The sequence below is a fragment of the Homo sapiens genome, chromosome 11 (genome assembly GCF_000001405.40).
Source record: "Homo sapiens chromosome 11, GRCh38.p14 Primary Assembly".
NCBI classification, from domain to species: Eukaryota; Metazoa; Chordata; class Mammalia; order Primates; family Hominidae; genus Homo; species Homo sapiens.
In genome coordinates, this window is record NC_000011.10 from 18,698,486 (window position 1) to 18,726,373 (window position 27,888).

At 51.9% G+C, this 27,888-nt stretch overlaps 2 protein-coding genes and 1 long non-coding RNA gene across 5 annotated transcripts in view, besides 3 other annotated features; 2 read left to right on the forward strand and 1 right to left on the reverse strand.

The window, feature by feature from the left end:
• Window positions 1-502: an enhancer, noted in NCBI's record as "H3K27ac hESC enhancer chr11:18720033-18720534 (GRCh37/hg19 assembly coordinates)". NCBI's record gives its function as "activates a minimal SCP1, AML or CMV promoter by ChIP-STARR-seq in primed H9 embryonic stem cells {active_cell/tissue: H9 hESC(primed)}" and the evidence as "EXISTENCE:reporter gene assay evidence [ECO:0000049][PMID:30033119]".
• Window positions 96-405: a silencer, noted in NCBI's record as "silent region_3193". NCBI's record gives its function as "represses an Ori minimal core promoter by ATAC-STARR-seq in GM12878 lymphoblastoid cells {active_cell/tissue: GM12878}" and the evidence as "EXISTENCE:reporter gene assay evidence [ECO:0000049][PMID:35858748]".
• TMEM86A (transmembrane protein 86A) lies at window positions 294-6,300 on the forward strand. Its single transcript, NM_153347.3, has 3 exons — window positions 294-422; window positions 2,448-2,712; window positions 3,088-6,300. Exons 1-3 carry the CDS (start codon window positions 402-404, stop codon window positions 3,522-3,524), a joined length of 723 nt encoding a protein of 240 aa, NP_699178.1. The 5' UTR covers window positions 294-401; the 3' UTR covers window positions 3,525-6,300.
• IGSF22 (immunoglobulin superfamily member 22) lies at window positions 5,827-27,703 on the reverse strand. 3 transcript variants are annotated; one of them, NM_173588.4, is made up of 23 exons: window positions 27,589-27,703; window positions 25,643-25,784; window positions 23,425-23,556; window positions 23,050-23,186; window positions 21,701-21,800; window positions 21,579-21,618; window positions 21,231-21,408; window positions 20,130-20,243; window positions 19,446-19,608; window positions 18,243-18,515; window positions 16,947-17,231; window positions 16,015-16,139; window positions 15,792-15,933; window positions 15,367-15,663; window positions 13,597-13,899; window positions 12,170-12,343; window positions 11,842-11,970; window positions 10,902-11,198; window positions 9,722-9,810; window positions 9,319-9,511; window positions 8,429-8,728; window positions 7,332-7,661; window positions 5,827-6,053 (listed from the first exon to the last, which is right to left on the reverse strand). In NM_173588.4, exons 2-23 carry the CDS (start codon window positions 25,749-25,751, stop codon window positions 5,983-5,985), a joined length of 3,981 nt encoding a protein of 1,326 aa, NP_775859.4. In that variant the 5' UTR covers window positions 25,752-25,784; window positions 27,589-27,703; the 3' UTR covers window positions 5,827-5,982. The 3 variants fall into 3 exon arrangements, 2 of the variants coding, with proteins under 2 accessions (NP_775859.4, XP_047282786.1); NR_160413.1 differs by lacking the exons at window positions 9,722-9,810; window positions 13,597-13,899; XM_047426830.1 differs by lacking the exons at window positions 13,597-13,899; window positions 16,015-16,139; window positions 16,947-17,231; ... (8 more) ...; window positions 25,643-25,784; window positions 27,589-27,703 and having other exon boundaries at window positions 15,792-15,983.
• Window positions 7,996-27,888, forward strand: part of IGSF22-AS1 (IGSF22 antisense RNA 1) — a 35,407-nt gene continuing 15,514 nt past the window's right edge. Inside the window, exons 1-2 of the long non-coding RNA NR_186353.1 lie at window positions 7,996-8,664; window positions 8,793-8,908. This is a non-coding gene — a long non-coding RNA (IGSF22 antisense RNA 1). The remainder of the gene's footprint in view (window positions 8,665-8,792; window positions 8,909-27,888) is intronic.
• Window positions 23,146-23,335: an enhancer, noted in NCBI's record as "active region_4508". NCBI's record gives its function as "activates an Ori minimal core promoter by ATAC-STARR-seq in GM12878 lymphoblastoid cells {active_cell/tissue: GM12878}" and the evidence as "EXISTENCE:reporter gene assay evidence [ECO:0000049][PMID:35858748]".

Below are 27,888 nucleotides of genomic sequence, written 5' to 3' on the forward strand. Positions count from 1 at the left end.
GACAGCAATGTGTTTGTCTCTCAGCCAAGCTCAGTCCTCACCCAGGCACCGGGGTCACGGTCACGTTCACGTTCCGTGGACGCCTTGGCACGGCCTCCCAAGGGGGCGGGGCCTGGGGGGTATCCGCCTTCTGACCCCTGGGAGATGCCTCCTTTCTCCGAGCAGCAGCCGGGGGCCTGGCCGGCGCCGCCAGCCGGGCCCCGCCCCCCCGGCTCCCGCCCGCTCATTGGCCCTGGCAGCGGTGACGTCACGGGGCTAGCTGACAGAACCCCGGCGCCGGGCGCTCGGGAGGTATTGTCCGTCCCTCCGGGCTTTGTAGAATCGTCGCCGGCTTACCTGGCCGTGGGCGCGTCCTGGCCGCTGCAGCCCGGAGCAGGGTGCCAGCCGCCGCCGCCGCCGCCATGGTGTCCCCGGTCACTGTGGTGAGTGAGCGAGCGAGCGAGCCAGTGCCCGGCGCGGCTGGAGCCCACCGGCCTGGCCACCGGACTTCGGCAGGCCGAGCTGCCGAAGGGGCCGAGGCGGGGCGGGGGTCCCGTGGCGGCCGGAGTCCCGCGGCGGGAGGCGGGCGCTGTCACCGCCCCCCGCTCCTCAGACTCGCGGCGCCCCTCCTCGCGCGCCCCCAGCCCGCCCGCGGAGGGAGGAAAACACTGGCCACGTGACTCGGAAGCGTGACTTTGTTGATCTCCATGTATTTGGCGCGGGTCGGCGGGGTCGCGGCCCGGGAGAGGGAGGGGACCGCTGCCGGCCGCAGAGTTCCGCGTAGGCGGACCACAGGGAGGCGTGGGGGCGGGGGATGCTGGGAGGATAACAGGGACCTCCTGGGAATGCCGTCCCAAGTTTGTTTCCTAACCTTCCTCATTTTGTAAACAAGTTGGCGGACGCCCCTGAGTCTAAGAAGCGCTGATAACGCGCTGGGGGAAAAGGGGGCATTCTCTATGACATCCCCTGCTTTTCAGACTTTCTCAACTTGAACCTTTTGTTTCGTCTCCCCATCCTCCTTATTCTACTACTGGGTTCCCTATAACTGTCAGGGTCTCTCCAGCTACTGCCAGTATCTCCTTCTAGAAAATATGGGGCTGGGAGAGGCCATGGAGCGGAGGTTAATGCTCCCAGGGGCTGGCAGGTGGTTGCTGGGCATTGTGGGCCTGGGCATCCCCTCCAGCCGCCTCCTCTGACCATGCCCCTACCCTGACCAGCCTTAATTTCCATGGGAAGTGGAAGTCATCTCTTCTCACTGCTCTTACCTCTGGCAGAACAAGGAAAGGCTTGGACCCTGGAACCACCCATCCGCCTCTTCCCAATCCTCCTCATCACAGTCTGATCAGTCCTTAGGTACCTGGTCGTCTGGACTCTGAGTGTTTCCCAAGTCCTGTGCTGGGCAGCTCACCTAGCCAGAGACACAATCGCTTTGGGCAGAGTGTGGGTGTACAGGGAACTCCAGCTGCTCCATATCACCCTCAATGGATCTGTTAGCAGCCCAAGGAAAGGAGTTTCAAGGATCACAGATTCAGAACATCGCTGCAGCCCCCTCCCCCAGCTTGGACTCTGCCTGCAGTGGCCTTGGGTACAACCTTTCTTTAGCTGCCCTCTGCTAATCCGGCTGAGACCAAGTCAGCTGCTCTAACTTCCCCCTCTCAGTTCCCCATCTCCCAGCCTGTCTGCTGGCTCCAGATCAGAAGCTGGGAATAGAACCTCTCCCCCCTTTCCTGCCTCTTTCTGGTGTGGCTTGAGTTGCTCTTGTTCTCTGGGAAATGAGGCTGACTGACACACACCCTCCCTTCCCCCAATCCTTGAAATCTTTGGTGTTTGAAGGACAATTTTCTTGCTCCCAACTCATGGGTCCATTTATCTAGCCAGCATCCCTAGCATAGCCCTCCTTGCCCTTGATGCCACCTTCAGGCTGGGGCAGGTGGAGTGGAGGCTGAGGAACAGACTGGTTGAGGAGGAGAGAGGCTGTGGTGGCTGAGGTGATTGCCATTGCCTGCTTTCCCACATTCCTGGCACACACCTGGTGTTGCCAGGGCCCTAAGGCTGCACCCTGGCCCCATGCTGAGGATCACGAGTTGGCCAGTCAGGGTGTCTCTGTGGTTTCCCACTGACTTCACTCCATTCCAGAGTGAACAGCTGGGGGCTGTTGCTGGCAGAGAGGAGGGGCTAAAGGGGCCCTGAGGAGGGAGAAGGAGGGGGCAGGAAGGGAGAAGCACACTAGGCTGCAGAAGGGTGCCCCTCCTAATATACTGAGCCTCAGGGCAGTAATGGGTTTGGCCACAACCTGCTGGCTGGTAGAGGCAGGCCAGGCTGGGTTTCTCTGTGTCAGTCTTCTCAGGTTGGGGGTGGAAGTGAGGTGGGGGTATGGATGGGAGTGTCTCTGGGGTGGATGCCTAGGCTGAGGGTGCTGGCTTTCAACCCCCAAGTTCTGAGTGCTGCCCTTGTCCTGTGTCCTCCAGGTGAAGAGTGAAGGACCCAAACTGGTGCCGTTCTTCAAGGCCACCTGCGTGTATTTTGTGCTCTGGCTGCCCTCATCTAGCCCATCGTGGGTCAGCACCCTCATCAAGTGCCTGCCTATCTTCTGCCTCTGGCTCTTCCTTCTGGCCCATGGCCTGGGATTCCTGCTGGCCCACCCCAGCGCCACCCGCATCTTTGTGGGGCTTGTCTTCTCTGCTGTAGGTGACGCCTTCCTCATCTGGCAGGACCAAGGATACTTCGTGCATGGTCAGTGGCCATAGTAGTTGCCTGGGAGGAGTCCTGGGGCTGGGGGATAGAGGGTCCTGGGCTGTGGGCAAAGATTTGGAAGAGGGAGTTCTTGAACCAGAGTGTGGGGAGCCTGAGGGTTTCTGAGGCCAGGGACTGTGAGGGTCCTTGTTAGGGGATGACCTCGCAGGGGAACTAGTGATCAGTTCCAGAGTCCTTCAGGGGACTGGGGTGGTGGTCTTTAACTTTAGATCTTCCTACCCCTGTTATCCCAAAGCAAAGCTGCTGGGTTATCCCAAACACTCCACTCCATCGCCACATCCATCCCTACCCCCACCCTGTTACTCATTCTTCATCAAGCTTGCCCTCAGCTGCCTTTGCCCCTCTTACCCCCAGGTCTGCTGATGTTTGCTGTGACCCACATGTTCTACGCCTCGGCCTTTGGCATGCAGCCACTGGCTCTTCGGACAGGTCTGGTGATGGCAGCGCTGTCGGGCCTGTGCTATGCCCTCCTCTACCCATGCCTCTCAGGTGCCTTCACCTACCTGGTGGGGGTCTATGTGGCCCTTATCGGCTTCATGGGCTGGCGAGCTATGGCAGGGCTGCGGCTGGCCGGGGCAGACTGGCGCTGGACAGAGCTGGCAGCTGGCAGTGGTGCACTCTTCTTTATCATCTCAGACCTGACCATCGCCCTCAACAAATTCTGTTTTCCTGTGCCCTACTCTCGGGCGCTTATCATGTCCACCTACTATGTGGCCCAGATGCTCGTCGCCTTGTCAGCTGTCGAAAGCCGGGAGCCTGTGGAACACTACAGACTGACCAAGGCCAACTGAGGTGCCAGGGTCTGGTCACCCCTCTCTCCTCCTGGGGCTGGGGCCCAGATCCTGGGGACCTGCAGGAGCTGGATCAGGATGGCTGCAGTGCCAGCCTGGGGCAGCAGGTACTGCCTGAGGAATTTGCAAGTTCGTGTGGGGAGGCTGGAAAAGGATCTCCCTAGCAGAACTCGTGGTTCAGGACAATGCTGAGAGCTAAAAGAGCCAGCCTAATATCAGACTGGAGCCAGAAGTAGACATCTCCCCACCTCTACCCTATCAGGACTTTCAAAACCCCCCTGGAAGGTGATGGTGCTCAGCTTCTTGACACCCCCCCACCCACTTCCCCTACCAGGTGGAAGAGTCTGACTCCATGTGTTATGCCTAGGACCAATGGCAGTGCTGGGTTCACCCACTCCTCCCCTTTTTCATCTGCACAAAGTTGAGGGAAACGGGAGAATCTGTGCTGAGAAGACTCAGACCCAGGAGCCCCTTTCACAGGCCCCTAGTTGGGAAGACTGGATGAGAGTGGAGCCTCCGTTTCTTTTCCCTCTTCTATCCTTGTTACTTGAACAATCTCAGTCTCTAAGTGGTGGGTGGGGACATGAAGAGGTGTGGGTCCAGGTTAGGCAGGAGAGAGAACTTCTTTGGTCTCGGAGTTTGGGGTCTCAAGAATTCAAGTAGCCCCATCTCTCTCTCGGGCAAGCCCAAAGCTCAGGTCCCATACGCTACCCTTAGATCCTATCCCCAGGGCTAGGGTGAACCATGCCAAAGGAAGGGGCCAGCTTCTCTGTGTGTGTGTGTAGCCTGTCTCCTAGTCTGCCTATGTCTTTCTCTGCTATATGTTTCTGTCCTGCTGTCTGTCAAAAGTCTCACAGAGAGAGGGCCTCAGGGAGCTGCTGAGGGGTGCTGAGCCTGGCTCAGGGAGCTGGGACCCCTCCCCTCCAACACACATACTCACAGTGCTTTCCTCCTTGTCCCTCCTACACTAGGAGCAAGAGGAGGGGGCTCCAATGACACTCCGGGGTTTTAAGACCCAAGGCACATTCAATGCAAGGGGAGCAAGGATGGGACAACTCCATCTTCTGCTGCCCATGTGAAAAATAATAAAAATCAAGAGCCATTGGCTGCCCTGCTTGTGGGCCTGTGTGGCACATGCCTATCTTGGAGAGGGCATGGGGGCATGGTGCCAGAGGCTCTGGCTGTCCTCACAGCCTAGTCACAGTCCTGGGCAGTGCATCTTGGTGCCAGGCTGGCTACCTGGCTCTGGTGACACTGTGCCGGTTGGAGTGTGTCTCACTTCCCTGGTGTGGGTGAGGATGTGGTTTAGGAGGATGGGGGATGAGTGGTATTTGCCACTGTCCAAATTTGTCCTTGATGTACTCCCCTGTGCACAGGTGCCCAGCACCCTTGGTGACCTTTAGTTACCCAGTGTCATCTATTGCTGCCCACCTCCTCCCCTCCCCACTTGAGACCTGCTGCTTCCTTCAAAATGATCCAGATTCCCTTCAAGCATCTCCCTCATCCTGGACTCTGGGCTTAGTTGAACAGCTGGGAGCAATGGGATTAGATTGGCTGATTCATTCATTAGTTGTAAAGCCCTGGCAGAATAATACATCACTCTGCTCCAGGAGCATTTGTAACTTAACAGACAATGCCCTAACCCAGAAGTAGAAAGGGAAGCCTTGGGTGGTGGTGGATATGCCATCAGTAGAGGTGTTGCTCATTTGTGGGGATGTGATTTAGGAGACTCAAGTCTCAGGGGTGGTTGGATGAGTCAGTGATTTCCAAATTAGTTTTTACAGAGATTCCTGGTAAGGGGGTAGTGAAGGAATAATGAGAGAAGGCAGGCTCAAAGACCTCCTATCCTTATTTCAAGTCCAGTAGCTTCTTAGGTTGTGTTTTTTTTTGTTTTGTTTTGTTTTGGAAGGATTCCACTGAAAAACGTAAGTTTGAAACTTAGTGAGCTGGATGATCAATCCCTTCTAGCTCTGAACCCTGGACACTAAAGAGGGAAGATCTTGATCCTTTCAAACTTCAGAACTCTGAACACAGACCTACCTAGTGTGAAGAAATGGGAGGGAGCAGGATGGAGAGCAGGATGAAGTCAGCAGGACTTGCCCCCAAGCTCTGAGGGGAGGGGGAAAGTGCCATGTAGATGTGGAGGAGGGGAAGGGAAGACCAGGCCCAGTCACAAGAAGGCTGGTCACTGCCTTGTGGGTGGGTTTGGACTAGGCTTTCAGGGGTCCAGGTCTGGGATTCCCTATCATGCAATCACATCCATCCCCTTGGTCCCTGCTGTATATCACCCTCAGGAACGGGAAAGGATGAGTTACGTTTATTGCCCCATCCCTTCACTGAATGTTTACATTAACAAACACCAGAGAGCAAACTGGGCTTCCTACACTGGGCCATGCAGAGGACAGGCCAAGAAACTCCACATCATAACAGCCTCCTGATGCCTGGGCTTGGCTGGAGCTCACATGAGGTGCTTTGATTTCTTCTGCAGACTCTCGGTGATGGATGCTACAACTGACTTATCATCTTTGTCTGAAAGAGCAAAGGAAGTATTCGTTATATTAATGATGCTGGCGACCAGGGAAATTCCAAACTGCTGGACTTCCTATGCAGGAAACCAGGAGCTGGACCCTGGGACCCTTAATCTTGGGTTGGCAGAGTGTGAAGGGGCAAGAGCTGCCATTTATCTAGCACTTAATATTTGCCAGACATTGTGCCAGGCAGTTGTGTACTGTCTCATTTAAGCCTCATAGTCCTATAAAGAAGATGAGAAAACAGGCTCAATGAGGTAGCTTACTAAGGTCACATGGCTGGTCAGTGGCAGAGCCAGGGCCCTGGGCCCATTTGCTGTGCTTACAAGCAGATTTGAGTTATCAGGGATCTCTTTAGCTGTGGAATGAAAGCTGGATAGCACCCACAGTGCCTTCCCTGGCCTAGTTCTTTTACACAGCTCAGCAGCCTCTCTGGAGATATTGTCTCAGTGCCAGACACTTAGCTAAGCACTCGAGAGACAGAGCAACAGGACAAGGTCCTTTCCCCAAAGAAAGGTATCTATAACTGGATAAAAAAGGTCTGTAACCATGGAGACCACAGCAATGGAGTGTCATGGAAGGTTCAGGAGTAGCAGAAGGTGAGATGAGAGGTGGGGGAGGGGGAAACCTTCTTGGTTTGGGATTTTACCATGAGAGGAAAGCTGGGGGAAATTTAAGCAACAGAAAGCAAGGCAGGCCAGCTTTGCATTTAGAGTTCATGCTGCTAGCTGTGTGGCTATGAAGACAGTAGACTGGGAAGGAATAAAATGCTTCCCCCTATGTGTGCACACATGAGTAGAAACATGGCATGCATGTACAAAAGGGAGGGTTCCCTTCGCTCCTTCCCTTGTTTGTGCCCCCCACCGGTCCTTATCCTAGACCAGTTTTAATTTTTATTGCACATCAGAATCACCCGCAAAATTTTGTAAACATATAGGTTATTTCCAGAACCGTGCCAGAGAGATCGTGATTGGTGAGTCTGGTTGAGTCCTGATCACCAGTATCTTTTTTCTGAAGGCAGGTCTAGGCTCACCAAGAGTTGCAAACCACATCTTATCTAGGGATTGAGAACTCTCATGTCTGCAGGGGCCAGGCATATAACAAATGACATCGAAAGGATGGGAGAGTGGTAAGAACTGTGGCCAATTAAGAATGTTTGCACCACCTGTTGGCAGTCAGATTAAAAAACGGTGCCAGCCAAATAGTTGACCAATGGCCCACAAGACCAGCCTTTTGCGCCTCTCCCCCTCCTCGAGGCCGGACCCCGCGGCGCCCTCACCATAGACGGTGAGCGTGCAGCTGCTGCGGTCCTTGCCCAGCTCGTTCTCCACCAGCACGCTGTAATCGCCGCTGTCCTTGAGCGTGCAGGTGGGGATGACGAGGGTGCACACGCCGCTGGTGGAGTTGTACCAGAACTTGGAGTTGGCCGTGATGTTGACGTCGCCCTTGTAGAGGGTCACTGTGGGCCGCGGGTTCCCAAGGAAGGCGCAGGTCATGGTGCAGTCCTGGCCGCGGAGCACCGTGTGTGGCTTGAGGGGCGTCACGAAGCGCGGCGCGTGGCGCCAGTCCTTCTTCTCGTAGGGCTTGAGCTTGGCGCTCAGGTCCTGGACTGCGCGGGCGGGGCGGGGCAGGCCGTGAGGGCGCCCCAAGGCCCCCACCCACCACCCACGTCTTACAGTTCAGCTTACACGGAACCCCGAGGACCTAGGCCACATTCCCAGCGCCACCAACTCTGGGGGCCCAATGTTACACTGGTTCTTAAGGGCTCCCCACCCGCCCCCAGGCCTCCCCCGACCCCCCAGCCCCGTCCCCAGCCACTCCAGGGTTCTGCCACCCAAACCACGCTTTCCCACACCCCTGGGGCCGAGATGTCATTCCAGCGCCAGCTTCCTGGACCCGGTTATTCCCAGCCTTTAACTCCGCCTCCAAGCTTCCCCTACGTCATATCAGCGACCACAGTCTCCCCTCTTATCCCTTTAGCTCCTCAGTTCGAGTTTCCCGACGCGGCCCCCACCCTTAACCCCTAGCCTCCAGGGATCCCAGACATCCTCCCGGCTCCCTAGAGCCCTCCCCTGTTCTCAGCCCCGTTAGACCCTCCCCTCAGAGCAGAACGCGTTTGCGCTCTATGTCCCTCCGCAGCCCCTCCACCGTCCTCTCTGCCCCCAAAGGTACCTCCCCACCTCCACTTTAGTCTCACCCCTAAGTACCCCGAAGAAAGCCAATATTTCCTTCTCTCCGCAGCGTCCCAGATATTAACCGTTCTATCTCAATGGTTTTCAGATTTTATCTTGCCTCTTGGGTACCCTTTGGGACCCTTATGTCATCCCCACCATCAGGGCACCCAGACTTAACCCTAACTGCAAGTCCCAGACTCACTCTGGTCCTTATTGATGAGCCAGGTGTCCCTGGAGTCAAGTGGCTCACTGTCACCGATTTCATTCCGAGCCACCACTCTGAAGTAGTACTTCCTGCCTGGGAGCAGCCCCGTCACTGTGTACTTGTTGCTGAAGACACGCTCGGCTGCCGTGTACCAGGTGGCTGTGCTTGCATCCCGCTTCATGATGATGTAGTGAGCCTCACCGTCCTCCTGCACATCTGGGCTGTGGTTCCAGGTCAGAGTCACTGTGTTGGGGACTTCCTCAAACAACCGTAGGTTTGTGGGGGGCCGAGGGAAATCTGGAAGAGTTGGAAGATCTGTCAGCGACCTTGGGGCACCTGAAGTATTATGTCCCCACCCCAGCCATCTGCCAAGTCCGATGGAAGATAAGATGGGGCAAGTCTCAGGCAGCTGGTGTCTTGGAGTCGGAAAACTATTTCTGAAGTCTGCTCTGCCATTTACTAGCCTCGTGACCTGGGGTAAGTTACTTATCTGAGACTTCTTTCCTCAATTGCAAAATAGAGCTGACAATGACTATTTCGTAGAAATAGTGGGTAAAGAGACTGGCATGTAGTTACTGTTCAGTAAAAATGAATCCATTCCTTCCTTGGGGGTTTAGAGCTTTATTTTAAAGCTTCCAGCTCTCTTTAAGCAGTCACCCCAATTTTTAATGGATTCATCTCCATTTGTCCCTCCTGCCCCTCCACCCATTTCTACTCTCTCTGCCGACCATACTCTGTATGATAAAGTCTTGCTCTGTGGTGTCAAAGAAATCTTCATGGCCCTAAGGCATGACTTTCCTGTGGTAGGAACTCAAGCGGCACTGGGGAGCTGTGCTTTGGAGAGTGTACAGGGATGGGTCTTGGAGGCCTCTGCCTTCTCTCCATACCTGCCACGCGCACATGGATGTCATAGCGTGCTTCTCCAAACTCATTCTGAAGCAAGATTCGGTACACCCCTGAGTCAGAGCGCTTGGTGCTATTAATGAGGAACTGGGAGTGGTTTTTGCTCTTGGTAATTGTCTCTCGGCCCTTGGTGGGAACGCCATCTTTCTGCCAGATCACGTCAGGTGGTGGTGAGCCCTGAGTAGTGACAGGAGATGGCACAACTGGTCACACAGATGATATTTGGGGGCAGGCCTTCCTCCATTGTCGAGGAGTTTCCTGCCAGGCTGTCGCACTAGGGGTCTGGTGAGGGGCAGAGTCAGAGTCAGAGTCAGAGACTGTGATGGCTACAATAGCCATCTTGGTTATGTGGACAGTGTATGGAGGTCAGGGTCAGGGACAACTCACAGAGAAGGCTGCATGGATGCAGAGGGCTGTCCCAGCGCGAACCACCATGTGACTCTTCAGCCGGGCACTGAGGTCAAACTTGGGTGCAGCTGAGATGGAGGAGACAGAGGTGGAGGCATGGATCTGTCTTTCAAGAAGACTCTGCTTTAAGCCTCCTCATCAAAGCCTTCCCAACCTCTCCTCCTTTATGCCCCCACTACAGGCCATACAGACATCTAGCTGCCCTGCAACCCTGTGAAGCATTTATTTGTTTTCTCATCTGTCTCCTTCTACTAGTACGCAAGACCCTGGAAGGCAAGTCCTTGTGTCTTGTTTCTATAACCCTAACACCTCCTTTTGAAATTGCCATTGCAACAATTATAACAGCGAGAAAATTATGACAGTGAACGAGATCTGATCTAACCAACCCCCATCTTGCCTTTACCCTCCAAACTGCCCTTAATCATTCCTGGTTTCAGACCAAGCTAATGTTGGGAGAGACATTTAGTTTATAGCTTAGATGATAACAGTCTTCCCCCAAACTAAATCACCTTTGCGAAGCTAATGAAAGGCCACCAGGTTAGGAGGATGTGAGGAGCCTGAATTCTGCTAAGGTGTAGACATAAAAGATTACCAGCCATTATTCCAGAGATCACAAGATTTGCAACTCCCCAGCTGCTCCTGCAAATAACATCACTATTGTAGAGCCTAAGATTGGTGGTTGAGATGTCTTTTCAGGTTTTTGCATTTCTGACGACTGATGGCTCCACCTGGACCTGCTCTCCCTCCACCCCACAAGTCCTGAGGCCCCAGTCAGAAGCAGGCTCCCTGGACTTTGAATTTTCGGGGAATTGATTTGGGTAATAACTCTGTCTCCCATACAGCATGGCTGGCCTTGTGTCCATTAAACTCTTTGTTGCAATGCTGTGGTCTCAGTGAACTGGTTTTGCGTGTACAATGCGCAAGAAGAACCCATTGGGTGGTTACACCTTGACACACAGTAGATGCTATTTGGCACACAATGATTGATTTAGTAGGGGTGCCCCTGAAGTTACCCCTAACTTTGTCCAGGCACAACAACTATGGATGACTTTTTCATGATCCTAGCATCATCCAATTTTCCTGTGGGATGAGGCCCCAGAGGAGAAGGTTTGGAGGTACAATGTTGGGCATGAATCCCCAGCCCTCTCTGTGTCCTCACCTGGTGGTGGCATGGCACGGACCCCCTTGTCTAGCTCCACAGGCTCCCCAACCCCAGCCTCATTCACAGCCCGGATTCGGAAGAAGTATTTCTGCCTCTCGATGAGTCCTCCCACTGTGTAGCAGGTGCCTGAGATGGGGATCTTTGTGCACTTGGACCACTCCTTTGTGTCTTCAGCCCTCATCTCAAGGATGTAGCCAGAGGGTGGGTCTCCCTCTGCAGGCTCCCGCCAGGCCAGGGAAATGCTGGAGTTGGAGGAATCAGATACATGCAGGTCCTGGACCAGGCCTGGGGGTTCTGGGGTAGAACAGACATGTAGTCAGCCCCTCCAACTCATCTCCACTCAATGCCTTGCTCACTTCCCACACTCAATACTCCTGAACCCCATCCTTCACTACTTCTAGCTCCAGATCCCTCAGTTAACACCCTTAGTACCTAGCCTTATACACTCAACCTCCAAATTCAAATTCAGTTATCTTACTGTTTTAACACTTTCATCCTTAAACTCAATACCCCTTAAATTCAACATACCCCACATATTCAAAGCTTCTGTATTCAAAACCCCAGCCTTTAACCCAACCATCTCCACCACATCCACTTCCAGGCAGTACCTTCACCTTGCTTCCTAAATGCAACACCCTCCAACCATCTACCTCACACCCTTACTCAACCCTCAGCATGCCTCTCCTACCTCACCTAACTAGAAATACACGAAATTTAAAAAACGTTTTTGCACCCCACCTCCTCACTGTCCCTGACTCTCAATCTTTATTTGCTGGCTTTCTCTTGTGTGTGAATCTTGTCCCTCTATGAGGCTGGCAGTTTCCAGAGTGTAGAGACTGTGATACCTCGTGTCATACTTTCCCGGGGAAGAAATTCTTTCTCTACTTTGAATGGGCTAATTCCATTATGTGTCAGGACCTGGCAGCCGCATACTCACTAACAGGATCCTTGGCCACTACTGAGCTGGATGGCACACTGGGCTGTCCAGGGCCTGCCTTATTTACAGCTATAACTCGGAATTCATATTCTGTGTCCTCCAGGAGACCATCCACAGTGCACTTGGTGCCTGAAATGGGAAGATGAGGGGTCGTGAGGCCAGAGGCATCCATGGGGTGAGAACAAGAGTGAGAGACATAGAAGAGGAGGTCATGGGATGTTGTTAAAACTTCCAGAAGAGTTGGATGAGGGACTGTGTCAGTAGTTAATGGGTCCACTCAGCAAGACCTCCTTTGGTCACTCCTGGGCCTCTGTTCCAAGGACCTCACCCTGGATGGGGTCCTTGTTGACTGGCACCCACAGGTTGCTGCCTTTCTTCCTTCGTTCTACAATGTAGCCGAGCACTGGGGCTCCCCCATCCTGGGTAGGGGCATTCCACGTGATGGTCACGGCTTCTTTAGTCACATCAGTCACTTGAGGCTGGGAGGCAAAACCAGGAGGCTCTGTGGGGGAAAGAGAGAGTGCAAAGGTTAGGAGGGGGAGCATGTAGATATTTGCCCACCTCATGCTGACTTCTGCCTCGCCTGCTTAAATAAACTCAAACCAGTGATTCTTTTTTCTTTTTCCTTTTTTAGAGACAAGGTCTCACTCTGTTGCCCAGGATGATCTTGAATTCTTGGGCTCAAGTGATCCTCCTGTCTTGGCCTTCCGAAGTGCTGAGATTACAGGCATGAGCCACAGTGCCTGGCACAAATGATTCTTAACTTTGCTTGCACATTAACATCAAGTGGGAAGTAAAAACAAAAATGAAAACAAAACAAAAAAAAAACCACTGACAACAACTAGTGTCTGGGTCCTGCCTACCCATATTCTATGCCTGGTGTGAATGGCAAGTATTATTAGCATTATTAAAGAAACCAAGTGATTCTAATGTATAGCCGACATTGAGAATCAGTGACTTAAACTTTCCTACAGTGTGACCCCCAATCCCATCATTCTCAATCTACTGTCCTGACATGGAGATTTGGAGATCAGTTGGGAGAGGTATAGCAAGTAATTCATTTGCAGTAATAATAATATTATTATTTTTGAGACGAAGTCTCACTCTATTGCCCAGGCTGGAGTGCAGTGGCATGATCTCGGCTCATTGCAACCTCTGCCTCCCAGGTTCAAGCAATTCTCTTGCCTCAACCTCCCGAGTAGCCAGGATGACAGGAGCCCGCCACCACACCCAGCTAATTTTTGTATTTTTAGTAGAGATAGGGTTTCACCATGTTGGCCAGGCTAGTCCTGAACTCCTGACCTCAGGTGATCCTCCCACCTCGGCCTCCCAAAGTGCTAGGATTACAGGTGTGCGCCACTGTGCCCAGCCTGCAATTATAATTAAAATGCCAATGTTGTCAAGGATTTTCTGTGGAGAAAAAGAGTGGTTTCAAGGTTATCCCTAAAGCAACATCATGCTCACTTGGATTCTGGGATGACTTCTGGGATGGAGAAAGAAGTGGAGTCAGTTCCCCAAAGTTGTGCACGTCCTGGGTATACCCATGGGAGTGTGTTGTGCATGTGATATGACTGGACAACGTTGACAATTCCTGCCCAAAATGATGTTCTGTTTTTACTCTGGAATCGGTCTGTCTCATGAGACAGCCAGAGAGATGTTCCTGTGGAATTCCCCACAGATCAGTGTTCCTTCCTGGCTTAAGGTCTCCATGCTGACCCCTGGGTTCCCCACTGAGCACCAGGCTATCTCACTGACCTATGGGATTTCCTGCAAACACTTCTTCTGTCTCCAGTGGGTCACTCACACCTTCTGAATTGACTGCCAGGATACGGAACTGGTAGGCTTTTCCCTCTTCCACCTTGTTGGTGGAGAAGTTGGTGACTTTGCCGTCCACCTCGCCTATCTTAATCCAGGACTTCTTGCCAACTGCCCTCCGTTCCACTATGAACTGTGTCACAGGTCGTCCACCATTGTCCTTTGGGGCCTTCCACTTCATGTGCACACAACTACCTGAGAGCTCCAGGAACTCCACCCGGCCCTGTGGAGGCTTTGGACGGTCTGGGGACAGAGAACAGCTTCAGAATGGGGCTTTGGAACAAAGGATCAGAAGGGCCTCCTCCCACTCACCAAAGGTCTGCCCAGACTAGGGTATAGCTGGATTTTGAGCTTTTTGGATCCTTTGCCCCTCCCTGTGTCCACCATCCCTCCTTCTAAGACTTGCCCAAAGAGTTTGATCCTTGCCCCCGTGAGTTTCCCATCTGCCTAGCAATGGGTAGACTAGAGACCTTAGGGGCCCCTGCCCTTAGCTGATCTCCCTGTCCCCTTCCAAACAAGTTCTCCCCCTCTTCTGAGCTTTGAGAACACCAGTACTTGCTGGTACCACTGTTTACCTTACGTTATAATTACAGTCTGTCTACCAGTTTCACCCCTTTTGGATTGAGGAACTGCTGGGGATACTTCATCTCTGTGTACACAGCAGTGAGAACACAGAGCAGGTGCTCAGTCTTGCTGCTGAATTGAATTGAAACTCAAACTTTCCCATCCCAGAGCTCGATGGAAATGCAGGTAGAGGAGGTGGTGATGGCGTGTACGTGGCGTGTTGAATATAAGTACATTCAGGCCAGCTCCTCTTCTCTTTTCTTATATCCTCATGTTCAGACAAATCCCAAATCCCATTCCCAATCCCCATTCCATCTTTCCCACCTTATTTTATCTCCAGCTCTATCTGACCTCCCACCTCACCCTGTTTCACTTTCAAACTCACTACTCTTTCCAAACAACCTCACCTCCATCCCTAAATCCCACCTCTTTTTTGTTGTTGTTTCTTTTTTTTTTTTTTTTTTGGTGACAGAGTCTTGCTCTGTTGCCCAGGCTGGAGTGCAGTGGCCTGATCCTGGCTCACTGCAACCTCTGCCTCCCAGGTTCAAGCAATTCTTGTGCCTTAGCCTCCCGAGTAGCTGGAATTACAGGTATGTGCCACTACGCTCGGCTAATTTTTGTATTTTTAGTAGAGACCGGGTTTCGCCATGTTGGCCAGGCTGGTTTCGAACTCCTGACCTTAAGTGATCCACCCGCCTTGGACCCCCAAAGTGCTGGGATTATAGGTGTGAGCTATAGGTGAGCTATAGCCACCGTGTCTGGCAAATTCTACCTCTCTTTCACCTCATTTCCATCTTACCTCCTATCAAGTTTTCCTCTTCAAGTCAATAACAATACTTAAGTAACATCTGAAAGTATATTATGTCCTGTGTTCTTAGCTGTGCACTTTAAATTAACTAGAAATGGATACTAGAAAAAAAATCACCCTGTTCCAGGTAAGAAGCTGAGACTTAGGGAGGTTCACTCGGCCAAGAACTGGCTGGGAAGTTAGGAAGCGGGCTTCTGGCTGCAAAGCCAGCCTTCTAGGCCCATTCCCAGCCCAAACTTCAACTCTAACTCTGGCCTCCTACTCAGCCTGCCTTCTGCCCTGAGTCTGGGCAGCAGGTGCCCTCAGCTCAGCCCAGCCCGGACTGGCCCTGCCCTGACCCAGCACACTAAGGTGCAGAGTGGCCGTGGCTGAGCCGTGGTCATTCTTGAGCTTGAGCAGGATGAGGCCGCTGTCTTCACGCACACAGTTGGAGATGGTGAGCAGTGCCTGGTCTTCCCCGCGCTCCATGGACACGCGTTCCTCCTCCGTCACTTCCATGCCATCCTTGTACCATGTCACTTTGGGCAGTGGTTTTCCCCGGAAGGGGACCTTGATGTGGGCCGTGTGGCCTACCTTCACAGTGATGGCGTGCGCAGCCAGTGCCTCCAGTACTGACGGGTCGATGGTAGGAGGATCTGTGGGGCGGGGCGGCAGGGAAGGCTTGAGCATTGGCATGGAGGAGCCCATGGGGCGGGGGAGAAGCCATGAGCTTGTAGGTGGGCCAGGCATGGTTGAGCTTTGCCTACCTTGGACAGATCCATACCTGCGATGAATACAGAGGCTTCACTTTCCGTGCCCTTGGCCCGGAATGTGTACTTGCCCTCGTGCTCAGGGCCCATACTGGGAAAGATGAGCTTGTGCACTGCACCCTGCTTCACAATCTGCATGCCTGGCAAGTCCGTGATCTGGGGGTCAGGGGTGGGCCTGAGTGTGAGCATAGGCCAGGTCTACCTCCTTCACCCCCTTCCCTGGCCTCTGCTTCAGACCTCCTTGCCATCCTTCAGCCACACACCCTCCACCTTCTCGTCATTCAGCACTACACACAACTCAGCTGGGCTCCCAGTGGCCGCGTGCACGTCGGACATCCCGCTCTTCACTGTGGCCAGACGCTCTGGGGAGAAAGGTGGGCAAGGGACTGGCTCAGGATGTTGGGGTGGGAGGGACTTCTGGGAAAAGGGCTGGTAGCGATGGTCATGGGACTGGTCAGGGGTGCTGCGTCAATCAAAATAATTTATGATGAGCAGGCGGCTTGCCAATGTGGTCAATAGGTGATTAGGGGGTGGTCAGTGGGGGGAACTGGAGCAACACATGGGAGGGGGATGGGGAAAGGTCAGTGGCTTGGGAAATGGTGACCAGGAAAACTGGGAGATGGCTAGTGGGGAATTGATTAGTGGAGCGTGGTCAGCAGGGACTTAGGATGCTGGGTTGGAGAGGGAAATAGATGGTGAAGATGCAGGTGGTTACTGGAGTTGGGATGTTTAGTTGTGGTTACGCTAGACTGTGGGATACATAGACTGTGGGATACATACATACATGTCATTGGGGGTTGAGGGTAGCCAGGGTCTGCGGAAAGTGGTTTATGGTTAGGTAGTAGGAGATGGTCGGGATCAAGACGTCTGGGATATCAGGGTTGCTGGGGATGGTTAGAGTCTGAAAGTGAAGGATGAAGTCAGGAAATTTGGGATAGAGTCTGGAAGATGGGGGGTGATCAGTGTCTAGGAGGTATAAATGTTTAGGGCATGAGAGGTCAGAGATGGTCAGAATTTAGGAGGTGAGGGTGATCAGAGTGGGGAGACACAAGTTGGTCATGGTCTACAGGAGGGTTGGAGTTAGTGGGAGGGGGGCAATTGATGTCCACTGTAAGGGAATGCCAGGGTCAGGGGGATTGGTCAGTGGGGATTGATAGGGCGGGTGTTACCCTCCACAGTGACGATGGCAGTACTGTAGTATTCAGTAGGGTCTCCATCCTGCATGGCCACCACAGTGTACTCGCCACCATCACTGAGCTGTGCATCCTCAATGATCAGCTCTGCTCGCTTGCCCTCATGGTTCATGCTGTACTTAGTGCCATGCATCAGCAGCTGCCCATCCTTCTTCCAGCGCAGTGTCACATCCTTGGATGTCAGCTCACACTCCAGGCATGCGCGACTCCTCTCTTTCACACGTACATTTTTGAGGTTGCTCACAAACTTGATGGGGATGCCTGTGGACAGACAGACACTTGGGCCTGCTCCCAAACCACGACATCTTTTTTCTGCAGCTATAGAGCCAAAAGCCCTGTCCCTCTTTCTGTCCCCAGAAAACACAAGAACTTGTGATGCTGAATGTGTTTGTGTGTAATATGTGACTCACAGAAGTACCCGACAGGGAGAGTCTCAGCTCTGGCCCTGACTTGCTAGTTGACTGTATACAACTCATTTACCTCTCTGAGTCTCAGTTTCCTCGTATGTAAAATGGGGTGAGAACTTTTACAGTGCTCAATATCTCTAATGCCCCCTTGGAGCTCCAACCATACCTGCATTGTCTTTCTAATGTCTGGACATTTATACATGCTATTACCTCTGCTGGGGATGTTCTCTACTCTCCCTCATTCTTTGAAAGCAGTATTACCTCTGCTGGGGATGTTCTCTACTCTCCCTCATTCTTTGAAAGCGGAACTCCTTTTAGTTCTTGGTAAAGCTCGGACATCATTTCATTATATCATTTCTGATGTTGCCAGGTGATGCCTTTTCTTTGGTCTTCTACAGCCCTTGTGTCTCCCTCCATCACAGCAATGATGATTCCATGTGATATAGATTCCAGGTGCGGTTCAGATGTGTGACATGCTCATTGGTGTACCTACATTATGTGCGAACTCCCAAAGTAGTTGTGATAGCAGAATGTAAGTAGTCCAGAGTGACACAGATGTGCTGTAATATATGACATTAGAGACATAGACTAATACTTTCTTGGTCCATGATCTCACAGCTGATAATAAGACCCAGTGTGTCTTGACTCGTGGAATAATAACTGCTATTCTAATTTCATTTTCATACCTGCCTCCCCTACTAGACTAGGGGTTAACAGAGAGGAGATCCCCCTGTCTTTCCAGTACCTACCACAGGGCTTTGCAAAAAGGAGATGGATGGATAGATGGATATATAAATGATGACTACCTGCATGGAGGTTGCTGTGCCATAAAGCCCACCCCTTAGGCTCTTGCCCAACCACTCACGGTCAACAGTGAGCTGGGCCTTTTGTACCAGGTTCCCCGCCTCAGCAGAGAACTCGCCGCTGTCACTGAGTCTGGCATCCTTAATCTTAAGCGTGTGCGTCAGACCATCTTCGGACACCGTGATTTCATACTTGTCATCCCTCTTCAGCTCCTTCCCATTGAACTTCCACACAAAGTTGGGCTCTTTCTTGGAGAGGCGGATCTCAAACACAGCTGTCTGGCGCTCTGTCACCTTCACAGGCTTCATCTCTCCCAGGAACTTCAGTGGCTCATCTGCAGCAAACAGTAGGAGTGGTAGTCATTGGGCTGGTCCCTCCTGAGGGGTGGAGTGGTGAAGAGGGCACTCACATGTCACTGGCCTCCTGTAGCCCATGGCTGGGGGAAAGCACCCTGCCTTTGGTTTTGTTTTCGAGCCCTTCTCTCCTGGAGTCCCCTCCTATGATATTCATGTGGTCTTCTCCCCAGTAATGGTAACAGCAATTTTAAAAGCACTTATGTGGTTTTAGATATGTTCCAGGCACCATCCTAGCCATACTAATTCATCCAATTATCACATAGGTAGATTCTATTATTCCCCATTTTGTAGATGGGGAAACTGAATCAAAGAGAAGTTAAATAACTTGACCTAAATCACAAAGCTCATAAGTGGCAGAAAGCGGGATTTGACCTCTAGTAGTTTAGCTCCAGAGTCTGCGTTCTTTTTTTTTAACTTATTTTTTGAGACAGGGTCTTGCTTCATCACCCAGGCTAAAGTGAAGTGCAGGATCATGGCTCACTGCAGCCTCAGCGTGCTGGGTAGCTAGGACTACAGGTGTGTGCCACCATACCTGGCCAATTATTTATTTATTTTTGTAGAGATGGGGTTTCACTATATTGCCCAGGTTGGTCTTGAACTTTTGGTGTCAAACGGTTCTCCTGCCTCAGCCTCCCAAAGTGCTGGGATTACAGGTATGAGCCACCACGCCTGGCCTAGAGTCTATGTTCTTAATCACTATGCTACACAGCCCCAAGGCACTTATTATCTCATAGTCCTCTCCCTTACATCTGATGCTTCCTCCCTCCATTGACTCCCATCCCCACACAATCCTTTCTTGCACAGTCCCATAGTCCTCTCTTCAATATCCCCATGGATCCCAACCCTGGCCATTCCTCTCTTCCAACCCGACATGTCCTCCTTGTGCCCTTGCATGCCCCCACTCATACCCAGCACTGTGAGCTCTGCACTCATCCGCTTATCGCCCACGGACAGGCTGTAGATGCCAGCATCGTTCATGTTCACGTTGCTAATAACCAGCATGTACTTGGTGCCCATCTGCTTCACATCGTACTTGCCCAGGGAGTACTGGATCCTCAGTGGCTCAGTACCCTGCCTCATGGAACAGGTAGGAAAGCTGATGAAGGGCTTTAGGAGGAAGCTTCCAGAGGTCTCCATTCCCCAGCGCCAGCCTAAGCTGGAGGGTGCATGTCCAACCCTCTAAAGACAGAGATCCCTATGATCTCTATAGCCTCATCATCTGGTTTGGTGGGATCCAAGATTCCTGCCTCCCCACAGGCCTCCTCACAGGCCCGAGCTCTTAATATGCATGAGTTCATTAGATGCTTTCCCTTAGAGGCACAGATCTTCAGTGACCTTCAAGACTGTCTAATCTAGCCTTTCAATTTAAAGATGGGTAGACTGAGGCATAGAGAGAGGAATGTGACTCTCTTACATCACACAACAAAGGGGTGAAACAGTTAAGAGTAGAGCCCAATTCCAGCCTCTTTCAACCATACCAGGAGGCATCCTCTTGATGGGATGGAAGAGAGGCTATGGCTTATATACAGTGAGAGAAGGGGGTAGAGAGGAAGAGATATTGCCAAGGTGGACCCTGGCTAGGCATCCCCCACCTTGATCCATATCATCTTGACATTGGGGTCTTTCAGTTCCATTATGCAGTCAAAGACCACTGTGGTGTCAACCTTGGTCTCTTTGTCTTCCAGGGGCTTCAGAATCCGGATGGCCTGAGAGATTATGATAATAAAATGACAAGTGTCAGTGGTACCCAAAGCCTGCCCAGACTGTGTCCTCAATCCTGGAGAAACTCTTAAGCATGTGGGGAGAAATGACTAGGCTCATTAGATAACAACGTGCAGTGCTCCAGTGATCAACTGAAAGATTTAGGAGGAGAGGAACATTACGGGGGATGAGTAAAAAACCATCATTCATGGAATAGTCACTATGTACCTGGGCCCATTATATAGATTCCCTAATTCCAGTGTAGAGGCTTAATGAGTTGGTTGAGTGAACCAATGAATGACAGCAACAACACAAAAACAAATGAAAGAAGGAAGTATAATTTTCATTTTGTAGATGAGGAAACTGAAGCTCAGAGAGATGCCCAAGTTCACACAGCTAATAAGGCAGTACAACTGGGATTTGTTTGTTTGTTTGTTTTGAGACGGAGTCTTGCTCTGTCACCCAGGCTGGAGTGCAGTGGCGTGATCTTGGCTCACCGCAACCTCCACCTCCTGGGTTCAAGCAATTCTCCTGTTTCAGCCTCCCAAGTAGCTGGGATTACAGGTGTGTGCCACCACACCCAGCGGTTTTTTTTTGTTTTTTTTTGTTTTTTTTGTATTTTTAGTAGAGACAGGGTTTCATCATGTTGGCCAGGCTGGTCTCAAACTCCTGACCTCAGGTGATCCACCCACCTTGGCCTCCCAGAGTGCTGGGATTACAGGCGTGAGCCACTGCACCCAGCCTAGAACTGGGATTTGAATCTCGGTCTATCTGACTCCAAAGTCCATGCAAGTATGTTTGGGAGTGGTGAAGACAGAAGTAGAAGGAAGGTGACTTGTGCTCCCTTGCTGCTTTCACAGTGGAGAGTACGCCTCTGAGTATGTGTGTGCAGAACTGGGGAGACCTTCTTGCTGAGAAATACACAGGCACTAGCACTTTGGGTGAAGCCCTGCCCCTAGCCTGCAGGCCCCTGCTCCCTGCAGGGTACTTACCTCCACCTCTACTTTCTTCTTCATCTCTTTGAGCTTCCTGAGCAGCCCCCGAAAGTCGGTGAAACCATACTCCATGCACACCTTCTCAAAGTCTTTCTTGGGCACTTTGGACAAAATCTCCAGCATCTCTTTCTCATTTGCCACCTTCTTCTGCTTCTTCTTGGGAGCAGGGGGTGCCCTAGGAGAAGGAGGAAGGGACTAAGCTTGTACACAATGCCTCTCCAACCTTGAGAAACCCCTCCCTACTCCATGGATTCTTGGAACTCAGGGCCTTGTTGAGAGGCCTTTGAGAGGCTTTGGCCTGGATGAGGAGACAATATCTTGGGCAGAAGGACCTGCCAGCCTCACCTCTTCTTCAGCATCTTTTTGAAGTCCATTTTCTCTTGACCTGAGGATAGACAGAGGGACAGGTTCAGACAGGGGGAGTCTGGTCCCTAAGAAGAAAGGCCAAGAGGAAGGGGCCAACTCACCTTCTGTTACCAGCAGAGATACGGTATAGATGGCATCTGCATGGTCATTGCTTGCAATGCACTTATAGTTGTCAGAGTCATCCGAAGTCAGTGGCTCCAGCTGGATCAAAGTCCGGCCATTAGTGGGGGAAGGAAAAGGAACCACAGGGAGACTTTCTGTCAGATAAGGTAGGAGGCCTTTTTTTTTTTTAGGGGACAATAGGAACTGACTGTTGGGTATATGTGTGGAGGATTGAGCAGCCTGTATGATTTGGAGGTACCAGCTAGCAGTCAGTGTGAGTATGCATGTTTGTAGCCTGATTCCATAGCAATAAAACTGTCTGCTTCTCCATCGGACTCTCCCCCTTGGCTGTGAGCTCCCAGAAGGCAGGGCTTCCCCTGCCTTGTAACTCTATCTGCAGTTTCTGGCATCATCTGGCTGAGACTTCATTTAATACAATTTACTCCTCTGTACCAGACACTGGGCTGAGCCCCAGAAGGAACAGTGGTGAGTAAGGCTGACTTGATGCCCGTCTGCATGGTGCTTGCAGAAGCCTGCTAGGCTCTCAGAAGCCAAGGCTCTCAGAAAGTGTCTGCTGAATGAATGAGCTTGTGTAAGAGGTGGCCATCAGGGGGACTGGGGCAGCTCGTGTGTGCTGTGGGGGGCTTAGGGTCCAGTGATGATGGGTCTTTGGGAGCAGACTACTTCTGTCTGTGGGGAAAAAAGGAGGCTCTTTGCCTTTCACAACGGGAAATCGGGTCAGGACCCGAGTGATTATAGGATCATAAGTAATTATAGGCCTAGATCTCCCCGTGATCCATCCCTCCCTTTCCTCGAAGGGCCTGGAGCCAGGGGTTACAGCTGGGTAGGCCCAGCTCTCAGAAAGTGATCCAGAAGCTGGTTAGACCTAAGGATGGTCGGTCCTTGGGGAGGGTTCAGCTGAAGAGCCCGGAGCCCCTGACCCTCACCCCTACTCTACGGCGAGTCCCTCCGGCACCTCGCCACCCACAATGGTCCCGCCCTCCATGGCTACGCCCACCGTCTTGGTCCCGCGTTCCTTTTGGCTCACTCGCCTTGTGGACACGCCCCTTCGCTTCCATTGCGTCCCGCCCCGCCACGTTCTGGCTCTGCCCCTGCTCTGCTCTGCCCCGGGGGTACTTTGGGTCCTCTGCTCATTCCGGCAATATCCCGGTTCCTGACTCGGCCTCTCTTATCCTGCCGCGCCTCTCGGGCAATGACAGCTGCTTTTCCCACTGCCCGGCTCTCGGGCCGCCGTTAAGGCTCTCATCGGTGAGAAGACTGGCGGCCCGCCCTGGGGGTCCCTGCCTCTGGCCTTCTCGGTAACTGGACTTGGGCTTGGCCCCCGCACCTTCAGCACGTGTTCCTTGTTAATGCTGTCGTAGAATATCTTGGCGGACTCCTTGATGGGGATGCCGCTCTCCCTCTTCCAGGAGATGTGGGGTTTGGCGTTCCCCTGCACCCGGGCTCGGAACACGGCTTTGTCCCCTGCGATGAGCACAGGACGCGTTTTCGCCTCTTAGCCACCAGGCTAGAGCCTCTGCCACCCTCTGCCGGCTCTCTGCCTCCTCCCAGACACCTGGGCCTGGCCCCGGGCAGGGGAGGAACCCTCGGCCAGGCTCTGCCAGGGTTTAGCATTGGAGGTCGTTGGGGTAGGACGGAGGGTGGGGGCACTCGATTAGAAAGCGAAGCACTGGAGCCCGGTGAGCCACAGGCAGCAACACACCCTCGGGCGCGGTGACCGGTTGAGGCTTCTCCACGAACTCAGGGACGCTGTCGCCCGCAGGGATGTTTGAGCTCCGGGTCACTAAGCTGAAGAACTCCACTATGCTCGAGGACTTCCTCCTCACGACCTCCTCTGTGGGGGCAGGCGAGAGGTCAGAATGGGCTCCAGGTAGAAGCCCAGCTCGCGATGGGAGGACAGAGCTTTCTTGAGAGGACGGTGGAGCATGGGAACAAAGAGCATTTAGGGAAGTGGGAGCAGGACCAGCTACATGGGGAGAAAGCAGGGTGAGTCGATGGGCCATTGTGTTATGGCAAGTTTCAACCACTAGGGGAGGCGAACTCCTTTCCCACACCTCAGTGGTCCATTACCTTTATGGGGCCACAGCCCTGAGTCCTAATTTTTTTTTTTAAAGGAGGCTTCTCTTTTGGAATTTTCTTGGTCTCTTAGGCTTCTCTCCTGGAAGTCCTGGTCCCCCAGTAGCATTAAGAGGGGCTAGGCCTGCTTCTGCCTGGGAGGTCTGCAGCTTGGCTGAGCTCTGCTCTAGATTTTCTCCCTGCCATTCTGTGGGTTCAGCATTCATTGCCTTGGGAGTAGTGATTCTTGAGTGAGGGACAGGACACGACACAGTCCCACTCCAGTGGAGCTATATATGGGAATATCCTTATCTGAAAGCACATCTTCAATGTGGAAATATAATTTTATATTTGGAAAACAAAAAAAACTGTTTTTGCAGTATAAAACTACAGACAATCTTCTTGGCTGGTGAGTTATCAATTCACAACAATTGCTCTGAATCATGGAACACTTTCCTTGAGTCAGGAACTGTGCTAGGCACATATCAGAGATGATTTTATTCCATCTTCACAGCATCCCACTGAAGTAGGTGCCTTTATTATCCCACTAATCTGACAGAGGGGGAAAAGTGTGTTAAGAAGCTCTCATGGCCTGCTTTTAAATACTAACAAGAGGTCTCAAACAGGCAGAGTGCAGTGGACACCTGGCCTGCAGATGTCTTTTATGTGACCTCCACAATGTTTAAACAAAAAAGTAGCCCTACATCTGAAAGAGAAAGATTTCACATAAAAATTCAGATTTCTGGATTCTCAACACTGAACCTGTATTCCCATATGGCAACAGTCAGTGGGAGGTGAATAGTGGCTGCCCCTTTAGATGGGATATACAGTCTCTAGTTTACCCCAGTCTTTTCCCCACATTTATGTTCCCTGCCTGGGCCCTGTTGGTCAGTGGTCTACAGCTTTGGCTGCACATATATAATCCATGGAGAACTTTATAAGAAATACCTGATTGAATGGTCTGGGGTGAGACTCAGGTACTGCCATATTTTTGCCCTCCTCACACCCCCTGCACTAAGGTGACTCTGATGTGCGGCCACAGCAGAGAATCACTGCTGTAAATCACTTGAGTTTGGAACTTCTGGTCTAGACCATAGGCCTTGAGTCCCAGCTGTTCCACTTGCTCTGCCTCACTGGCCAGGAGGTGTTGGTTGGTATAGAGTGTTTATCTGGCCTTGACCTCTGTGCACGGAGGACTTTGAGGGACTCTATCCCTTTGAGGCTTTGAGGGAGGGGCAATGACTGTGAGAAGGGGTATCCAATGTCTTGGCCCCCGGCCATCTTTTAATCTCTTTCCACTAGAGACGTGACTAAAACACTCTGTTCAGCTCTGAGACCATTTCTCAGCTTTCCCTTGGATCTGCCCTCTTCCAAGTCTGGCCCCAGAGGGCTAAAAGCCTGGAAGGTAAGGTCACCTTCTTGTTTATGTGTTCACCTTCTTTCTCCACTGGTAGCCCCAAGTCTCCTATTTCTTAAGTGGAGCAGGGTCAGCATTACTGATATGTAGATAAGGTGGCTACCTTCCTAATTTCCCCTATGCCTGAAATTCTACCTTTGGAGATAGAATCTGTTCACCTATGGCTCTGATCTCCTTCAGCAATTAAGAGTTTATCAATCATTCACACACATCCACATGATTGATCTTTTCTAAGCTGTTTTCCTGGAGATCTGATCTGTGTTGAACATCCAGCTGGCTGAAGCTTTAACAAAGCCAAGATTAGAAGCACACGTTGGGTGGGGGTTGCTGTTGGTATTGTGGGCTCCAGAGGGGCCCATTAGTGGCAAAACTGGGGCCACCCAAGGGATGGGTGTGGAGGAAGAATAGCTGCCCTTCCCGATCCCTTCCCTGCCCCCATTCCACTTGCCTCCCACGATCTTGGTTGTCTGGGAGAAGGTCTGCACGTGGGTGGTGGAGCTGGAGAACTCCATGGACACGTGCTCCTGCAGCATCTGCCGGCTGTGAATGGTTGTCATGGTGACAGCAGGCGTGGGCACTCACCTGTGAGACTGGGGAAGAGGATGAGGCCATGAAGGACAAGACAGGGAGTAGGAGGGAGATTCAGAGATGTTATGTGTGTGTTCAGACATAAGAGGAGATGGAAGCACACAGGAGAGGGCCAGGAGAGCAGTCGAGCTCTCTTTTCTTCATTTCCTAGCTTCCTTTTCCTGGTTAGTTACCAGACCCAATAGGCCTGTCCTCTCACTGAGTAACTCCAAACTATTCCAGGGTCTCAGAGGGAGAGGTTATAGGGCTTAGACTTACCCAGCCAACCAAGTAAGGCCTGGAGGGAGTTGAGGATACCTATTGATAGCTACATGGCACTAAGGAGGCAGTGCTGGATGTTTCATCAGGAGGGAATGCAGTCAGACCTAAGAAAGAACTTCCTGACTAAGCCATACTGGAGTGGGCTTTAGAAGGAAGCTGTGTCTCTTATTCCTGGGCCCTGGGGACCCCGGCACTGGTGGAATGCTAAAACAGATGACAAAACATCACTACAATTCTGCTTGTGTTTGCGACATGGTAAAGGCAAAGGTTTAGTTTTTCTTACATTTTTCTTTGAACTGGTAATTCAATCACATAGTTAAAGAATAAAACAATATAAAAATCCATATGGACAGGCTCCCTCCCACTCCTGCGTCTATCTTACAACCTTCCCCATTGCAACAGGTAGCCAGTCTCTAGGCTCCTTCTAGACCTCCATCATGCAAATAGGAAAACTCATGTGTTCTTATCATCTTCCTTTTTTTTTTTTAATTAAAAAAGCACATAAGGTAGCCCATTATACACACTATTCTGACCCTTTCTTTTTTCATTTAATGTGTCTTGGAGATTTTTTCCATACCAGATGATAGCGTTTCCTCATTCCTGTTCAGAGCACCATGTTTTCTCAATGTTTTATTTAACCAGCATTGCGGTTTTTTTTGGGTGATCTCGGCTCATTGCAACCTCCTCCTCTCGAATTCAAGCCATTCTCCTGCCTCAGCCTCCCCAGCAGCTGGGTTTACAGGCACGTGCCACCATGCCCAGCTAATTTTTGTGTTTTCAGTAGAGACAGGGTTTCATCTTGTTGGCCAGGCTGGTCTCAAACTCCTAGCCTCGATTGATCCGCCTGCCTTGGCCTCCCAAAGTGCTGGGATTATAGGTGTGAGCCACTGCATGTGGCCAGCATTGCAGTTTTTTTGTTTTTGTTTTTTTGAGACAGAGTCTTGCTCTGTTGCCCAGGCTGGAGTGCAGTGGCACGATCTTGGCCCACGACAACCTCTGCCTCCCAGGTTCAAGCAATTCTCCTGCCTCAGGCTCCCGAGTAGCTGGGACTACAGGCACCCGCCATCACACCCGGCTAATTTTTTGTATTTTTAGTACAGATGGCGTTTCACTATGTTGGCCAGGCTAGTCTCGAATACCTGACCTCGTGATCCGCCCACCTCAGCCTCCCAAAGTGCTAGGATTACAGGCGTGAGCCACCGCGCCTGGCCCAGCATTGCAGTTTTTAAAGTCCTATTTCGTATATGAGGAAACTGATGTCTGAAAGAAATGACCTGTCCAAGGTCACTCAGACTAGACTCCTAGCTTTTGACTCCAGTCCAGTGGCGTCCCAGAGGGCTCCAAAGCCTTCTTTAACCCAGGTAGTTAGGGGTTAAACTCTATTCCCTCTCTCCACCCCCTAATATATCTCTGCCTGGGCTGCTTCTACCTTTGGGTTCTGAGACTACTCCCCTGTTCCTATTCCTGCCCTCTACCCTATAGTCCCCTCTGGGCTCAGAAGGTGGTCAGCTTTGTCCCCTTCCTGAGGGAGGAGGGGAGCCTTACCTTCAGCACTGACCAGTCCCTCCCAACACTCGAATGCTGTGTCCACGGCTTTGGAGGCTCAGCTAGTGCCTGGACTGTAGGGTGGCCCGTCTCCTTCTTCCTTTGCCCCAACAGTGAGGCTACCAGTGTCATCTGTTCCTTAAATGTCTGGCCCCCTGGGGGCGATTCCTTAGTCAGGCTCTGCAGCTGTCTCAGCTAGATGGCACACTGCTTGGTTGTGGGGGGAGGGGGAGGGCGGTGGAGAAGGGAGGCGGGAAGCAAAGCTGGATCCAGGCTGGGGGAAACACTGAAGGCCAGGCG